The sequence below is a fragment of the Homo sapiens genome, chromosome 6, assembly GCF_000001405.40.
Source record: "Homo sapiens chromosome 6, GRCh38.p14 Primary Assembly".
Taxonomy (NCBI): Eukaryota; Metazoa; Chordata; class Mammalia; order Primates; family Hominidae; genus Homo; species Homo sapiens.
The window spans coordinates 65,461,960-65,479,592 of NC_000006.12; the positions used below are offsets into that span (position 1 = coordinate 65,461,960).

The 17,633-nt window shown below is 32.1% G+C and overlaps 1 protein-coding gene across 4 annotated transcripts in view, besides 1 other annotated feature; it reads right to left on the reverse strand.

Annotated features, from left to right (window-relative positions):
* EYS (eyes shut homolog) overlaps positions 1-17,633 on the reverse strand; it is a 1,987,247-nt gene that overhangs the window by 1,741,980 nt on the left and 227,634 nt on the right. The window lies entirely within an intron of this gene.
* Positions 8,442-8,611: an enhancer, noted in NCBI's record as "experimental_92928 CRE fragment used in MPRA reporter constructs". NCBI's record gives its function as "activates a minimal promoter by MPRAs in K562 erythroleukemia cells, with activity observed for the non-introgressed 6:66180379 variant allele {active_cell/tissue: K562}" and the evidence as "EXISTENCE:reporter gene assay evidence [ECO:0000049][PMID:34662402]".

Sequence of the window (17,633 nt, forward strand, 5' to 3'; positions counted from 1 at the left end):
ACCTATTACTCTAGAGAATGAAACATTAATCGTATTCATGAACACTTATAGCAGTTTTATTCATAATCATTAAAAATGGAAATAACTCAAATGTCTTTAAATGAGGGAATATCTTATACTGGCCACTGCATAACAAATTTTGGGACATTTGTATAATAGGAAACTACTGAGAAATAAAAATAAGTGAACTATAAATATAAACAACACTTGGATGAATCTCAAAGATATGCTGAGTGAAAGAAGTCAACTTAAATAATTCATGTAATGTATGATACTTTTATATAATGTTCTTGAAAAGTCAAACTATAATGACAAAGAACAGATGAGTGATTGGTAGGGTTTGGAGTGAGGGAGAGTGTGGCTGCACAGGGATAGTGTGAAGGAAGTTTTGGTGTGAATGGAAATGTTTTGTATCCTAATTATAACGGTGATTACACAAATCTTTATGTGTAAAGATTCATAGAACTCTGCACACACACAGAATCAATTTTGGGTATGCTCCTTTAAAAAGTTAAATTTAAGTCTTTACATTGAACAATAACTGGAAGTAGAAATATTAGAATTCTATTTATTATTTATAGTATATTTTATTATTTGTAGTGTATTATTTACAGTATATTTTCTCTTAGGATTGTGTATGTCTTTACTACAAGATACAAGCAACTGTTGAAATATTCCATTATTATTTTCACTGTGTTTTGATGTCACACCATTACTCTTAAATTTTACAGGAACTTTAATGTCTATAATTTCATAGTCATTAAATTTAAAACTATTCATTCTCTCACAATAGATATTTAAAATTGTGAGTTATATGGCTTACATTTTAAATATGTATACTTTTTATGGTTCTTAATATGTGTTGTCAATGTGTCAAATTTTTAACATGTACACATTTCATTCTCATTATATTTACATTTTATTTGGCTGAATTTTTTTCTATACTTCAATAATCAAGCTTGTTCTCTTGATTTCCAAGGTATTCAAAATAATATTATTTCATGGAAAATTTCTTTTCTCACATGGATAACTGGAGAAGACATTTAACTGGCTTTCCTGCTTCTATTCCTGCCCTCATCTCTGCCGTATTTCCCTCTCACCACAGCAGTCAGAATGACTGTTTCCAAACATGTCAGACCATGTTACCCCTCTGCTCAAAACTGCAGTAGCTCCCCATTTCAGGGTCAAAATTAAAGTCTTTCAGATGGTCTCTGAGGTTCTGACTCTTACTTGCTTATCTGACATAATTCTCTGTTATTACCACTCTTTAAATTGCACCCCTGACACACTCCTGGTTGTGCACTAGCTGTTTCTTTTGTCTACAACTTTATTTCCCAAACAATTGTCACTGTTCATTGCCTGACACCCCCAAATATTAGATGAAATATCACTTTCTCGATGAGATTTCTTCTAATCACCTTGTAAACAATTGATATAAAATTGGTAAACCTATTCTCTTAGCATTTGCTGATTTTCTCATATTGTTTTACTGTTTTCTATTTTTATTAACCTATCATATATTAACATAAAATTATTTATATTTCCAAGTACCTAATACAGTGCTTGACATATAGAAGGTGATCAATACATATTTGTTCAATGCCAGAGAATAATTTATAAACTAATTTGTGCAAGAAGTATTTTATGTATGCATATAAAAATAATAATTCATGATCAAATATTGCTTGATGTGTTTATTTAAAAAAGTATGGTTTGTCTCCTTAAAATATTTGTCAGGAAAATAAACGTTGAGTTTAAAATCAAATATAATTATGTAAATGACAACTCAGTCTTGAACATTGAGATATACTTCAAGTTCCCTCTTGACCCATTTATGCCTAGTGTTCCATTATTGGAGTGCTAAGCATGTGGGAGTTATTTGTATTCTATTGCTCAAGGTCATCACCAAGGTCTGACTGCAAAAATTCAAAAAATTGCAACCTCAGGCATAAATGGGTTAACTGTGATGGTATATAATTTTAATATATTGTGATACTATATACTTTTAATATATTTAATTTCATACAAATGTATGATTTGGTGCTTTTATCTTTATCCTAAAGAAAAATCTACCTATTTTCTTTTTTCAAATTTCAGTTATGTTTTCAATTTTCTTCTATCTATTGGATTCCGATAAATGGATGTAAATTGTCATGTAGTCTAATCTTATGCAATTACGCGGTCCCCAGTTAATGCAGAGATCATTCAAAAGTATACACATTGATGCATTTTAATTGTTATTTTGTACATACAACCAAGATCACAGGAGACACAGGAGATATGAAGCAAAGAAGACTTTTTGGATACAGTTTGTAAGATTAGATATACAACTACAGGGGGTAGATATTTCTAATATTTATCTTGGCTGTCCCATGAAGGTAGTTAAATTTTGTTTACTACAGAATAGCAAATTACACTGTCTGGCTTAAAGAATGCCTGAGTTGTAGTGCATGATAAGATATCTCCCAAATTATGTCAAATATATCTGTGAAAACTGAAAATAAGACTAAAGTTTGTAATACAACTAAATGCCAAAGTTGAATCTCTACCAACATCAAAGTTAATGTAATCAATATACAAATATTTTGTCTTCTCATCATCTAAAAGAAAGTAAAAAGTTTCATCATCCGTCTACATGCCACCTTTTAATAAATTGGAGCCCTATCTCCTCTAAACCATCTCCTCTCCCCAGTCGTTTTGCATCTATTCTGAAACAGCAACTCCATATGATACTCCAAGTGAGCATACAGGAGAGAGTCTGGAAACTTCGGTTTTTCATGCTTCCATTGATTCAGAGCATAGAAGCAGAATCCACCACAGTAGACTAGAGAATCTGTAGATGTTCAACAAGAACCAATGACTAGGTTGGAAACTTACCTTGTGTTCCACGTGTGGGACTGAGAAATTTATTTTGCCATTACTCAGTGAAGAGAGATGAGGCTTAAAGGTATCCACATGACCTAATTACTAAAAATTTCTGAATTGGGGTAGCTTTCACTTCTTTAAGTAATGTTGAAAAAACAAACAGCAATATTTATAGATAGTTCTACAAAAATAGAGAATAGAACCATTGTTCTGAATACTGAAATAAAATATAATTTAGATAATAGTCTACTGCGTTAATAAGAAAAACCTTTTGCCATATTCAAGAACATACAATGTCTATAAAATGAAAAGAGAAGAACACCAAGAGAGAAATAAATGAGATAAAAAGATAGCAGAAACCAGTTGTGGTGCTTCACGTCTGTAATTCCAGCACTTTGGGAGGCTGAAGAGGGAGGATCACATGAGGCCAGGAGTTTGAGGCCAGGAGTTTGAGGCCAGCCTGAGCAACATAATGGTACCTCATCTCCCCCCATTTTTTTTAATTAGCCAGGTGTGGTGATGCACACCTGCAGTGTTAGCTACTTCAGAACCTGAGGTGGGAAAATCACTTGAATCCAGGAGGTCCAGGTGGCAGTGAGCCACGATTGTGCCGCTGTATTCCAGCCTGGGTGACAGAGTGAGGCTCTGTCACAAACAAACAAACAAACAAACACCAACCAAACAAACAAAAAAGACAGATAATAGAATGAAATGGAAAAGAAGGGTAACATAAGTTAGAATTTATAGACAAATAAAAATTGGAATTAAATTTACATCAGAGTCAGAGAAAAGCACAATTAGCGTTGAGATAAATAAATATATTTTTAAAATTCAAATTGGAGGAACTTTCTAATACCAAAACAAAATCAGGCCACGCATGGTCGCTTATTCCCACTCTTGTAACTGCAGCACTTTAGGTGGCCAAGGCAGGAGGATCACTTGAGTCCAGGAGTTCACAACCAGCCTGGGCAACATCATGACACTCCAACTCTACAAAATTTTTTAAATCAGCTGAATGTGTTGGCTGATCCCAGCTACTCATGAGGTTGTGGTGGGAGGATCCCTTGAGGCTGGGAAATTGAGGCTGCAGTGAGCTGTGATTGTGCCACTGCCCCACAGCCTGGATGAAGAGTAAGACCCTGTATCAATCAATCAATCAATCAATCAATCAATCAATAATAAATAAGAGAAAGAAAATTCTACAATTTTGAGAAAGAAGAAATGTTAATGGGACAGAGAATTAGAAAAACAATTTAGAAATTGCATTGCCCTCAGCAATATAAAATGTATAATAGTGTAACAAGTTTTAATAATTTTTCTAGATCATTATATTATAATGTATATATGATTTCAAATACCACCACTAAAACCAAGAATTGGAACTAAAAAAGGCATTGAGGTAATGGAAGCAGTAAATATAAGATAATATTTTATTGAAGAATTTTGTATATACTGTTTTTATTAAGGGATTCAGTTAAAGAGATATTTCATTGTTGACACTTAGACCTAGAATATAAAATACGACATTAAGCAAATGAGTCGAAAGAAATAAATCCTCAAAATAAAATATAATATGTACCATTTATTAGAAACAAATTCATTCAGGATAGTTACAAATAAAACCATGGGAGAATATGTTGGACAATGTATATTTCATATGAAATGGAAAAATTAAATTAATTCCCTTTAATATGAGGAACATTGTTAAAATTCTCACTGTTACAACCATTTACTACTGTCCTAGAGGTCTTGGTCAAACCAAAATGAAAAAAAAAAAGGAAATAAGAGATATTTGGAAATTGGAAAGATTTGGGGGTTGATCAAGGAAAACAGATGTGATGAAAAAAGACAGTAATGCACACACAAACTTCATTGAATGGCACTTGGACAGGGTTGCATGAGAAGGGACGTCTCTCTAACTTAAGACCTTCAGACACTAATTGTGAGGAGGCCACCATCCAGAAGAGAAGGAACACAAGGAAACTCCTGAGGTAAAAGGGAATCCGAGAGAGACTTACTTGTCCAAGTGATAACTAAGCAGCACCACGGAAAGTTTCTGGGTCAGAGAGCTCTTAAGGGCAGTAGCAGCTTAGGCTTTATCACCACAAAGCTCTAGCTCATCAATGCCCAGCAGATGCTATATGTAGTTTTACAGGTTATACAAAGTAGGCAGGCTCTAAATATTAGTTTGGTGCAAAAGTAATTCAGGTTTTTGCCATTGAAAGTAATGGCCAAAAACACAGTCACTTTTGCACCCACCTAATAGCTAAAAATCTTCTTGTTTGGACTATTTTTAAAACCATTATGTATGTAAAAATTTTAATGTGGTACCAGCTGGCATTTGAGCTAACAGATATCAGTCTGTAGTGAAGAAATATCAATGTAGGGGCCAATATACAGAGGCCTTTTTGCCTCACTTATATAACAAAATTTAAAAATTGGAAGATAAGTTAGTTATTCTAATCATATGCAGAGAAACTGGATTATCTAGCAAGTAAATGCATAGAACAAATAGGTAAAATACTGAATGAATACAAGATTTCCACAAGGTTGCAGAATACAAGATTGATGCCCAACATTCAATGCCATTTCCTTACCAAAAGACTAACAGTTATAAAAAAAAATCAGAAATAAGATATTATTCCCTAGAATGACAAAACTGATACACATGACTATTTAAACACACACACACACACATACACACACACACAAACACTCATACAAAACCCATATGAGAGAAACTATCATAATGAAGATTTAAAAATCTGAATAAATGAAGAGATATGTCACTTTATGAGATTTCATGAATTAACAGTATACTGTCTGTTCTCTCCAAATTATCCTATTAATTTAAGCCAAATTAAATTATATATTTAATAATGCTTAATAACATTACTTAAAAATACATAGGTAAAAAGGAGCCGCAAATGTAGGTTAACACTAGAAAATAATAGTGTGGGGGTAATTGTCCAGACAAAATAAAAATATATGACAGAATTATATTAAGAAGAATGTGTAGATTTTGATTATAGCTTTTCTTTTGATTAAAAAAAGCCATAGACAAAGATAATATATTAAGAGATATACCTAAAATGTCTCCAAACTAGAAGGGATTAATTACTATCATGCACACATTACTTTTGAAAATAAAGAATGCACATCACTGACTGTGGGAACTCCAATGCCCTGTTTGCTCCTTTCCCCAAAGTCTCAAACTAGACTCTCAGTGGTTTCTCTGTTGGGTTTATACCAGAGAAGAACTAAGGGCAGCTCAGGAAAATTAACCTCCTGAGCACTCCTATGACACTTTATCCTTAAAGGGAAAGTAACAAAAAGCTGTTTCCAGAACCTTAAACAGGGAATCATGGCAAGAGATGTTCTGATGCTTCTTCCTAATCAGAGCCGAAGCTACAAGAAGAGACAGTGACACATATAACTTATTTTTGCTGTTTTCTTTTTTCAAAGCCTTCTTCTCATGCTTTTTGGGGCAAGAATAGGGGAAATTTTATTCTTACTTCCTCTAGGACTTTGCTATTATTCCCACTAAGCTAGATTAGCTACTTTACATTTAGTTAAATAATACTATGCACAGTGAGGGAGAAGTCTACGGCCTGGGTGCTTCAGGATGGACTTACAACATAACAGCCAGCCTTTAAAGTTATTTATTTATTTATTTAGTTAGTTAGTTAGTTAGTTATTTAGTTATTTTGTTGCATGGCCCTATTTTGCATGTCAGGACCTGAATATAACCTCCTTTTTCATTATGACTCTTATGTATTCCAGCGTCCTTTTAAGTATTTGGGTGCCTTTGGTTAATTCGAACAAAAGTTACCTATTAAGGAAATCACAAATAAAAAACATATACCTTGATATACCTATGATTGCAAAGCAGTGTAAGTTTTATGGAAGCCCAATAGAAGGAGAATTCTGAGAGAGAAATTTCAGTTCTGGTGATTGTTACATTTCAAGAAAAACCAAAACTGAAACTCTATTCTCTTCCACAGAAATGTCTCATTCATTTCTGTGAAGGATATCTTTAATGTCCTTCACAGATGTTAAAACTTTAAGATTCTATGAGATATGGCATCAGGAATATCTCACTCTTTTTAATATTTTATGTAGTCTCTACTTAAATACTTTTCTTTACTTCTTTGATCTAATGAATTTTTCTGTGAAACAAAGAAGAAATCAAAGTTCAAATTCACCTCTAGGGTTGCCAGATAATATATATCGTACACTCTTAAATTTGAATTTCTGATAGAACAATATTTTTCAGTATAAGTATTTCCCATTCAAGATATGAGATATAATAATACATCCATTCCTTTTCTGAAATTCAAATTTAACTGGACTTTTTTCTGTTTTTATTTGCCAATTCTAGCGACCTTATATAATACATCAAATTTTATGAGTTCATAAACTTTGTTAATCATGAAATTGGAAGAAGTATGGTAACAACCAATTTTTTGACATGTAATATCATAAGTAGTTCAAACTGAAAACGTTTAAAACAACATTTTTATTTCAGTGAAATTCTTTCAGTTATACTTTTGAATCTTCATAAAAAATATTTTCAGTCTGGTAAATATACATAGATATGTATTTCTTTTCCATTAAAATTTTTAAGGACATAATGTTTTCATATATTCTTTTATCAAATATTTTAGGTCAGTGAATCTAAAAATAGGATCAAAACTCAATGTATGAAAGAAAATGTATACACCTTCAAATCTATGAGTCACATGAACTTCACCAAAATCAAATTTTGTTTTTCTTTTAAAATTATTCTTCTCTGTATTTTTTATTTCTTTTATTTTCTTGAAAATTTGTATTTTTCAAGAAAGAGGGACATTTTGCCATTAGTACTGGTGAATACCATTCAGCTCTTTTTTTTAAGTCACAAAAAGCCAGAGGAATTCAAACTTCAACATATCTCTCACTATCCTCAAAAAACTTTCTTCCTCAGCTATACATAGGCATCTATTCTGCCAAGCATCTGCTGAGGAAATGATGTAAGTAAATTTCCAAAGATTTTAAGTCCCTAGCTTTAGCCTAAGTATAGCAATTGCCAGATTGCACTGTGACTTAAAATCATATCAAAGAAAAATGCCCAAGCTTCCTCCACATGGCATTTTAAATTTTATGTATGGCTTTTAAAAATTGTCTATATAAGAGATTAGATACAAAATAATACTTTCTCAGGAAAAGGATGTTTCTAGAGGAGTTTATGGTAATACCATCTTCCTTAAAATGTGCTTACTTTAAAGGACCGATAGCAAGCAAGAGAAGAGTATATGCCAGCAATTAAAATATTGTCTCCAACTGAGTATCAAGGAGAAAAATATGCTGATGTCATTAATGTTTAAAAACATTCCTTTTACCACAAGTAAGGTATAGACTTAAGAAATTTTTAAACTCATGAAAGCCTTCTGAGCTTTCTTTTCTCTAATTAATGGGTGCAATGGGAAGTAAAGTGGCAAATACTATTTGGTATCATTCTGAAGATTAAATGTAAATAATGCATAAAATACAATGAACACATTGCCCAACATGTAGCAAGTACTCAATAAATAGAACTTATTATTATTTTTAATTCAATTTTAATTTAATATATTAGATTGGTTTTAAAATTTATGAAGCTAGATGTCCTTGATGCAGTCTTACCAATCTAAATATACATTCAATTTTTTTGCATTAAAAGCAATACTCATTAATCAAGAATACAATATATTGTCACTAACCATTCTATACAATAGATATCACATTTAAACGTTAAATGATTACATATGGCTAGTACTGTGTTAGCCAGTCCAAAGACATGAAAATAATCTGAAATTTTTAAGTAACTGAGCTGACAGAAAGACTGATGATTATATGTTAGTACTATAATCAAAGAGAGCTAACTGTAAATCTCTGGAATTTGACATGTCATCCACATTAATGTATAAGTTGTTAAGTGTGATACCAAGAAGAGAAATTGTTACCTACACGCCAAAGTCACTTAAGAAGATGGATGTGGATATAGTGTTTAGTTCTAAAATTAAAGGTGAAGCTATAAAAAAAGGATGGCTTGGGAGGCTGAGGAGGGCAGATCATGAGGTCAGGAGTTTGAGGCCAGCCTGTTCAATACAGTGAAACCCTGTCTCTACTAACAATACAAAAATTAGCTGGGCATGGTGGCACGCACCTGTAATCCCAACTACTTGGGAGACTGAGGCAGGAGAATCGCTTGAACCCAGGAGGCAGAGGTTGCAGTGAGCTGAGATCGCGCCACTGCACTCCAGCCTGGGTGACAGAGCACGACGCCGTCTCAAAAAACAAACAAACAAAAACGAAAACAAAAGGATGGCATAGAATGTTTACAAAAGCACCAGCCTGGGCAACATAGTGAGACCTCATCTTTACAAAAAAAAAAAAAAAAAAAAATTGTCAGATTTGTTAGGGTGCCTGTGGTCCCAGCTACTCAATGGCTGAAGTGGGAGGATTACTTAAGCCCAGGAGGTTGAGGCTGCTGTGGGTTGAGATCACATCACTGCATTCTAGCCTGGGCAACAACGTGAGACCCTGTTTTAAAAACAAAAACAAAAAAAAGGAGTTTATAAAATCAACTAATAAAATAAAGATAAATGACGATGAATTCTGGGATTGTTTTTTATATTAGTACAAGAGAGTAAAACCAATGATTTTCAGATCTTGGACAACTTGCTTAGCATATCACAACCAGCTTTTCACTAACTCCTGCTTTGACATCATTGTAATTTATGTTGACGTAATTGAAAATTCAGAATATGATCTCATTACCTCTGTAGCCAGAGCCATTAGAAAGAAAAATATTCCTTACTGTAAAATAAATGATATGGAAAATACTAGTTGACTATTTTTTCTCTTCTATGAATCATAATTATTTGTATTCTTGTTCACAATAGAAATCATGTGATTATGTAAATTACCATTACTATTCTATTTCTAATAAAATATTTTAAGATATTTTAACCTTAAGATAACATGGTATTGTCATGTTAAACTATATTTCATAATATTTTTCATGGCATTATCCTTTTAAATGAGACATATTTAAAAACTAAATATAGAACCTAAATGGGAGAAGAAATTTGGTTAGATTATGCTATGTTTTATAGTGTTAAACTCTTCTATATATAGTTTATATGAAGATGATTGCATTTGTTCATCTTGCTTTAATTCATATTACTCAGTGCCTGAATAAACAGTACATTTTTTTATGGACACAAACTAACATCATATTGTCAGTTTCCATGCACTTTGAAGGGGATCATGTGATACACTGCAATATGTATTTGTTTAATTACTTCTCAAAAACGAAATCATAGAGTTGGAAGATCCATATAAAGAAGTGTGTACCAATGTTGAAGATGAAATGTAATTATAACAAAATATTTTGTAAGTCTGAAAGCCATTTATGTCTGGTAAACATAACCATCATGGAAGAATATGGGTATGTTTGGCAGATCCATGTTTTCTCTTGGAAGGCAGTACGTTAGGATGATCACAAAACAGGAGATGTTTTATAATTATTTTGCAAATTATATTTTCAATATCTACACTAAAATGTCAGATACATATTCTTATGGAAAAGTTTGTGGAACAAATTTAACTTAAAAATTTTTTAATGTAAGCAGTTACAAATTTGATGAGCTTTTGAATAACATGCCTTGAATTTCCTGAACAACTCTTCATTATGACTTACAAATTATTTGGAATTCAGTAAAGTATAGGATCCAATAATATAGCACATAAACAGAAATATAAAGTGTCTTATTTGTACAAAAATGTGATTGTACTGACAGGAAAAATTTACAGATGAGATAAAGTTCAAAGAGAGGAAGTCAAACACTAAACTACGTATATTTCTGTATTTGAGAGCCATCACTCCATCTCATTAACTGGTTTATGTATTTAGGCATATTTTATTTAAAACTCACTATTTTTCTTACTTAATTCCTAGGTTGGTTCTTGTAAATATTGTCTTTATAAAATTGTTTCTCTCTTAAGATTTATTTTTTTTTAATAATATGCTCTTATTTGGTATATCCTCTCTTGTGGGTCCAAACTCCTAAGGTCCCTAGGTTATGCTTTCATAAGCAATGACACCGGTTTAATGAAATGAAACAATTTACCCTCATAGGTAGTCTACTTCTATCAAGTAATATACTAGAATTAAGTCACTGGTTCTTAGACATTAAAAAATATATAGCAAATAATGAATCCAATGGTGCTAAATTCATGTGAATATATTACATCAGGCTATCGGTAAGGAGAGAAATTCAGGTCAGAATGTTATTACTATATGTAGACAGATTCAAGCAAATAAAACTAGAGAAAAAGGTAAGGGACTGTATGGTTAAGAATAAATTGATAAATAATAGATAAATTTGATATGTCATTTCTGTGTAAGAGATAAAAACAATATCCTTGATGAGGATGGAGTAAGGAAAACTTTAGGAAAGAGAAATTGAACAAAAGGCAAACAAACCCAAAAATCTTGGAGAATTTGAAAAAGAAGCAATAGAATATTAAAGAGGTTACTGTGTCAATACCTAAGAAAAGATGGAAATAATGTATTGGCAGTAGTGCTGAGACTAGAGGCCACTGTATTTTTAAAGCTATAAAAAATGTTGGGATTTCCACCAACTGTGGTCAGTAACTGTGACACCTGGATTTTGATTAATTACTAAAGAACAAAAATTTATGCAAGAGAAAACCAATAATTAATAATTTGGTACTATCTAGATGCTAAGCACAATATTTATATTTTAGATACAAGATCTAACTAAACTTCAGAATAATTATCTTTTTTGTTTTTTACTCAACTACTGCACATGAAAAAATTTAGCTTCAGCAAAGTTAAATGTTTTGGACAAGATTAATAAATAGTAGATATGGGGTGACATTGAAGTCCTTGAACTTCAAAAGAAATATTTTCCCAGCAAATAAAATTTCCTCCACAGGAAAAATAACAATGTTGGTTATGGGATTTTTGTCTCAAAAAAAAAAAAAAGGAAATGTAGAATGATTCAGAAAGTGAGAGAACTAGAAGGATAACAAGGCCCAGTGTTTTTTAGAGTAATGATGAGGTTCTTGGGACTTTTGTGGATGAGTTGCTACATTAAAGTGGTTGTGATTTTCCTTGCAGTTAAGGAGACCAAAAAATTTGAAGTAAGATTTTAAAATACCGATGACAAGTTTTGTATTTGAAAAGAAAGACTATCAAGTAGGTGTATCCATCAATTAGTGAGGAGAAACCAAGAAGACAGTAAATGACAAAGTTAAAGCAGTAGCAAAGCTGATATAAGGTGACATGGAGCTCAAAGAAGAAGCAGATTTTGAATAATATGTGTAAAGCAATAGTTTCATAAATGCAACTGTTAGCTTAGAGAAAGTAATAATGACCCCCATGGGGAATGGTACATGGTAGAATGCATAGCTTTCTATGATTCTGTAACAAACTGCAGAAAGAGAAAAAAGAACGTGTGGTGTGGTAGACTATCAAAAATAGTTTCAGCAAAATTTCCAACCAAAATTGGTCTTACAGACCTTTCTCTACCCCTTTATCCTAAATGAGCTTCTATAAAATCCTCAGCAAATATAATATACAGAGAATGACAATGTATGATTTCTGAAGATGTCATAAAAGTTAATACAGCTCATTGTCTCTATTGAAGCTTATTGTGGAATTTAGCACCATGTATAAGGAAGCCAATGCCATGTAGAAAGTCAGTATGTAAATCTTCCAACAGATAGCATCAGCAACATCTAAGCCAATGGCTGGCATCAACTTCCAGATTTGGGAGGAAGCAATCTTTAGATAATTCTAGCACCCAGTCTTTGCAATGACAATGATCAGAGCAAAATCAAAATAAAATTGCTGATTTATGAAAATAAATGTTGTCATTGTTTTAAACCACTTAATTTAGGGTTAGTTTATCACACAGAAACAGATGACCAGTAAAAACTTTGAGTAGTGAAGATGAAAGAGCACTAAGAATTAAAAGTGCTCAAAGAACTGGAAGTGAACGACAGAGGAGGAAAAGTTAGGAAAGAAATGAGAGCTCCGGAGAATGTAAAAAACAGAGAGACTTGCATTTTGGCTGAGGATAAGAAGAACATAGATCAAAGGCACAGAGAAAAAATATGCTTGTAATATATACTAAAATCCCAGAGTTTCAGCTATTGATAAAAGTCAGATTTTTTCAGACAAAAGTATTTTATCAGCATTCAAAATAAATTACTCAGAAAATTATAGTGTCTCTTGTGGGAAAACTAACCACCTCCTAGTTCAACTGTCATATATATATATAGCACTTAATGGTTATTGTATTTATTTTCTCATAGTTAAAATCACTGAAGGCCATCTTTGTATGAAAACATTGTACAGAGTTCAAAACACTAAAAATACACAAGTAGTTCTTGGTTTTGGGTCATAAAAACAAACTACATTAGGTGAGATAAAAGAGCTACTGCTTTTCATTTATTCAATAATAGGTACATTGAATCTTTCTAGCATTGGTCTTTATATATACCCAGTGGAACAATGTTAATTAATAATATTTTGAAATTTTAAAATAAACCGAAAATTCAAAATTATAGGCTAAATTTACACATAATGCTATACTAATAAAATTCTGTGTGGTCAAGGATATTTATTTGAAAATAATTTTATATTTAGTTAATGATAAGTAGCCAGATCATTACTTTTCTATGAAAAAATTCTGAAAAGTATAAGAAGGCACCATTTTCAAATTAACATCTGGGATTTACTCAGAAAGTCATTGGTCAATAACTGTTTTAAAATAACTGAAATAAAAATCATCTGACATATGTTGTTTACCTTACCTAAAGTATATACTCATTTTATAAATTTTTGTACCCCCTGACAGACAGACAGACAGACAGACACACACACACACACACACACAGAGACAGAGAGAGAGAGAGAGAAAGAGAGACATTAGCACTTTTCCCAGCTTTCTCTTCATGGAGTAATTAAATTTATTCCATTTTTAAAATCTTAGACTCAGAAAATAATAAATAAGGAATATTACAGAACCGATTACATGATTTCAGTAAGCCAAAAATGATGTTCACTCTGTATTTCTTACTATCTCAATGATATTCTTCATTATACAAGTATAACACCTCTTAAGAGCAATTATTTAAGTAAAATTTTGTCAGGGAGAAGATATGAGGATTACTCTCTTATTAAAAAAAAATTTAAAAAAAAGTAACTTGCCAAAAAAAGGCATGATTGAATTAGAGAAGCTCCCGTTTTTTGCGACCCTGCTCCTGAAGTGAAACCTTGGGTTCTAAACACCAAATGGTGGCCTCATCTACCATGACGCATGATATTTGTTTTATCAAACAGAATAAACTCTATTAAAGATGCTCCTTAAAAGCTCTAATTTCAATTATACCCTGCTATCAGAGTTGGTCTACCATAGATAGACTAACAAATACTAATAGAATAAAATCTAATGCATAAAGGACAGAAAAAGGTATTACATTTTTCCCCAAATTTACAAAATTGATTGTTCATTAAGATATTTATATGTACATCTTAATTTAATTCACTTATCTCAGATTATTTTTAAATTTGCTTTTAAACTTGATGGAAAATTCTCCTGAATTGTGGCATAATTTGAGTTCAAAATATATTAATTATTTCCAAATCTTTATCTTGAATCAGGAAATGTTCATTTATTACAAGCTATTTCTAAAACTGCTTTTTTTTTTTTGAGACAAAGTCTCGCTCTGTCACCAGGCTGAAGTGCAGTGGTGCGATCTCAGCTCACTGCAACCTCCACCTCCCAGGATCAAGTGATTCTCCTGCCTCAGCCTCCCGAGTAGCTGGGACTACAGGCGCGTGCCACCAGGCCCAGCTAATTTTTATATTTGTAGTAGAGACGGGGTTTCACCATGTTGGCCAGGATGGTCTCAATCTCTTGACCTTGTGATCCACTGGCCTTGGCCTCCCAAAGTGCTGGGATTACAGGCATGAGCCACAGTAGCCAGCCTAAAATTGCTTTTAAACCTATAAAATAAGAATTTGATTGGGTTATTAAGGTAAGCCTGAATATGATGAAGTAGGTTGTAAAAATTTCGAATTTTTATTCATGCTAATCAAATCAACATTCTAAGAAATCCAGTATGGTATCTATTGAAAGGATGATGACACTTTAATAATTATGGTATTGTGCTTTTATAGCCAGCTTCTAAAACTGTCATATCACTGAGTATCACAGACAAGATACAATAATAAGGTTACCCACAGAGAAAAGGTAAAATGCCTTGTAAATTTAACTTTCTAGATTTTCATTTTCAAGTTTTTGTACTAAATAAAAACTGAAGCCATATGTTCAGAAGTGTTCCTGTATCTGAAAAATAAGCTTATGGCACTTCCCCATAAAACACATTTCTAAGTCCCAAGATGGAGTAATTAGAGAGATGTTTCTACATGGAGTTCTATAAATTGTCACACCTGTTTAGTTGAACAAAGAATGAAAATATGCAGACTTCAACAGAATTCAAGAACTCATTAAAAGACTTACACTTTACCAGCAGAAATTACTTAATATAGGAAAAACGTCAGTCATTTTTCAGGCAGTCATGAAGTGATTTTTAAATCACTGAAAATGACAAATTAGAAGTGGAAAATTATCACAATTATATAAGCAGTATTACTGCGATGTATAGAACATCTGCCCCCAGTGATAGCCAATTCAACATTCTACAAGGGAAGCCAATTGACGCATTCAATATTACAAGGCTAAAGGCAGTTATTACATTTTTTTCACTTTTAAAACAAAGAAAGCAATCATGTAATTTTCAGTTAGTATAAAAATTGAATACACTCTGAGTCAAAAATAAGCAGGTATCATATTTTCCATATGGCCATTTGTAGCAAATCATACATTTCATTTTTAAGAAATGATATATTTTTCAATCTTTTTTCTGTGTGTTAATAAAACATGGAGAGAAAGCTGTGATTCTTTTCGTTCTACACATGGCCATAAGAATGTCAGTACTCAAATATAACTCTGTGATTTCAGACTAAAAAATTGTGTCATACCTATTTTCAAATATGTCTGTCAGAAGAGAATGATAATACTTTGAACTTCTTTTAAGATTAAGAACATCCCCACATCTCATATTCTCCTGATTATCAAACATTTATTCAATACCTTATATGTGCTGTAAAATAGGGCTGTAAATTTGAATCGATCACAGGCTTTGCTGTCAAGAACTTTGCAAATCAGTAGGAGGAGTAAAGGAAGTGGATTTTTGCAGAAGTGAAGGAGAAGAAGAGAGACTTCATTCTAGAGAAGATATAATATATGAATGACAGCAGAGAAAATATGAATGTATATGGCTTGTTTATGACACAATCACTAAGACTAGTTGATTAGAGCAAACGACTGGTTAAGAAAATATTGAAAAATGCTTATAAAAGTAGATAGACATAAATTACATAAACACCTGAATGCCATAAAAAGGATACTGGATTTGGCTATATTCACAAAATGGTGGACATAAAATTGAATGAGAAGTTGTTATGCCAAACAATAACAAAAGTAGCAAAAGCTAAAATTAATTATATGCTTACCAAGTATTTTACATGAATTGGTTCATTTAGTCTTAAGAAAAACACATGAAAGATGCTACTCAATTCTCTTTCCCCTTAAATTCACCCTCTTGACAGTGCTCCATTTACTGGTTTCCTCATTTATATTAGTGAATTTCATTTTTAAACAATTACCAAATTATAGTGAAGTCAGGACCACTTTACAAGAAATTGATCTTTATGCCTAATTATACATAATTGATTTTAGTTAAATATCCCAAATTACTGTTTCTACTTGGAAGGGCCCTGTTTAGAATCACTGAAGAGTTGCTTGTTTCACTGAAAACACAGAAAAGTTCTTAAAATTAAAAAGAAAAAGAGAGAGAGAAAGCCACATTGACATTTGCTATTCTGTGTTGGTGGTGTCGCTTTTTTCAGATGAACTCTCTCACTGAAAACTACAAAAATTCTGTATAAAAACACACAGAAATCTGCACAAAGTCCTTTAAGAACGAACAAAACCAGGCAAAAATAGAATGCATGAGTAAACTCAGAAATTTATCCAACGAAATTATCTAATCTGTAGAATAGTGAGAGGACCACAAATGGTTGAACTAAAATGAATAGAGCCTCAGTGACCAGTAGGAGAATTCTTAATCTACCATACCATAAACTCAGAAATTTATCCAACGAAATTATCTAATCTGTAGAATAGTGAGAGGACCACAAATGGTTGAACTAAAATGAATAGAGCCTCAGTGACCAGTAGGAGAATTCTTAATCTACCATACGTGTAACTGTAGAAGGAAAGGAAGGAGACATTTTGGCAAATAACTCCTTGGCATATATTTGGCAAATATCAAAAGAGGCTGAATTAAAGTTCTGGTAGAATTTTTAAAATAAATTGACGAGTGGATTCTAAGATTTATATGTATATGCAAAGGATCTAGAATTGTCAGAACAATCTTAATAAAGACTAAGAAACTGGAAGATTTGTTTTATAGAACCTCAAATTTGATATAAATATACACTAACCAAGAAACACTAGCATTGGCTAAGGAAATAAAAATAGACCAATAGAATAGAACAGAGATTACAGAACTAGACATACACACATATATGTTTAATTTATTTATGATAAGATCTCAAGCAAATCTATGGGTAAAAGGAA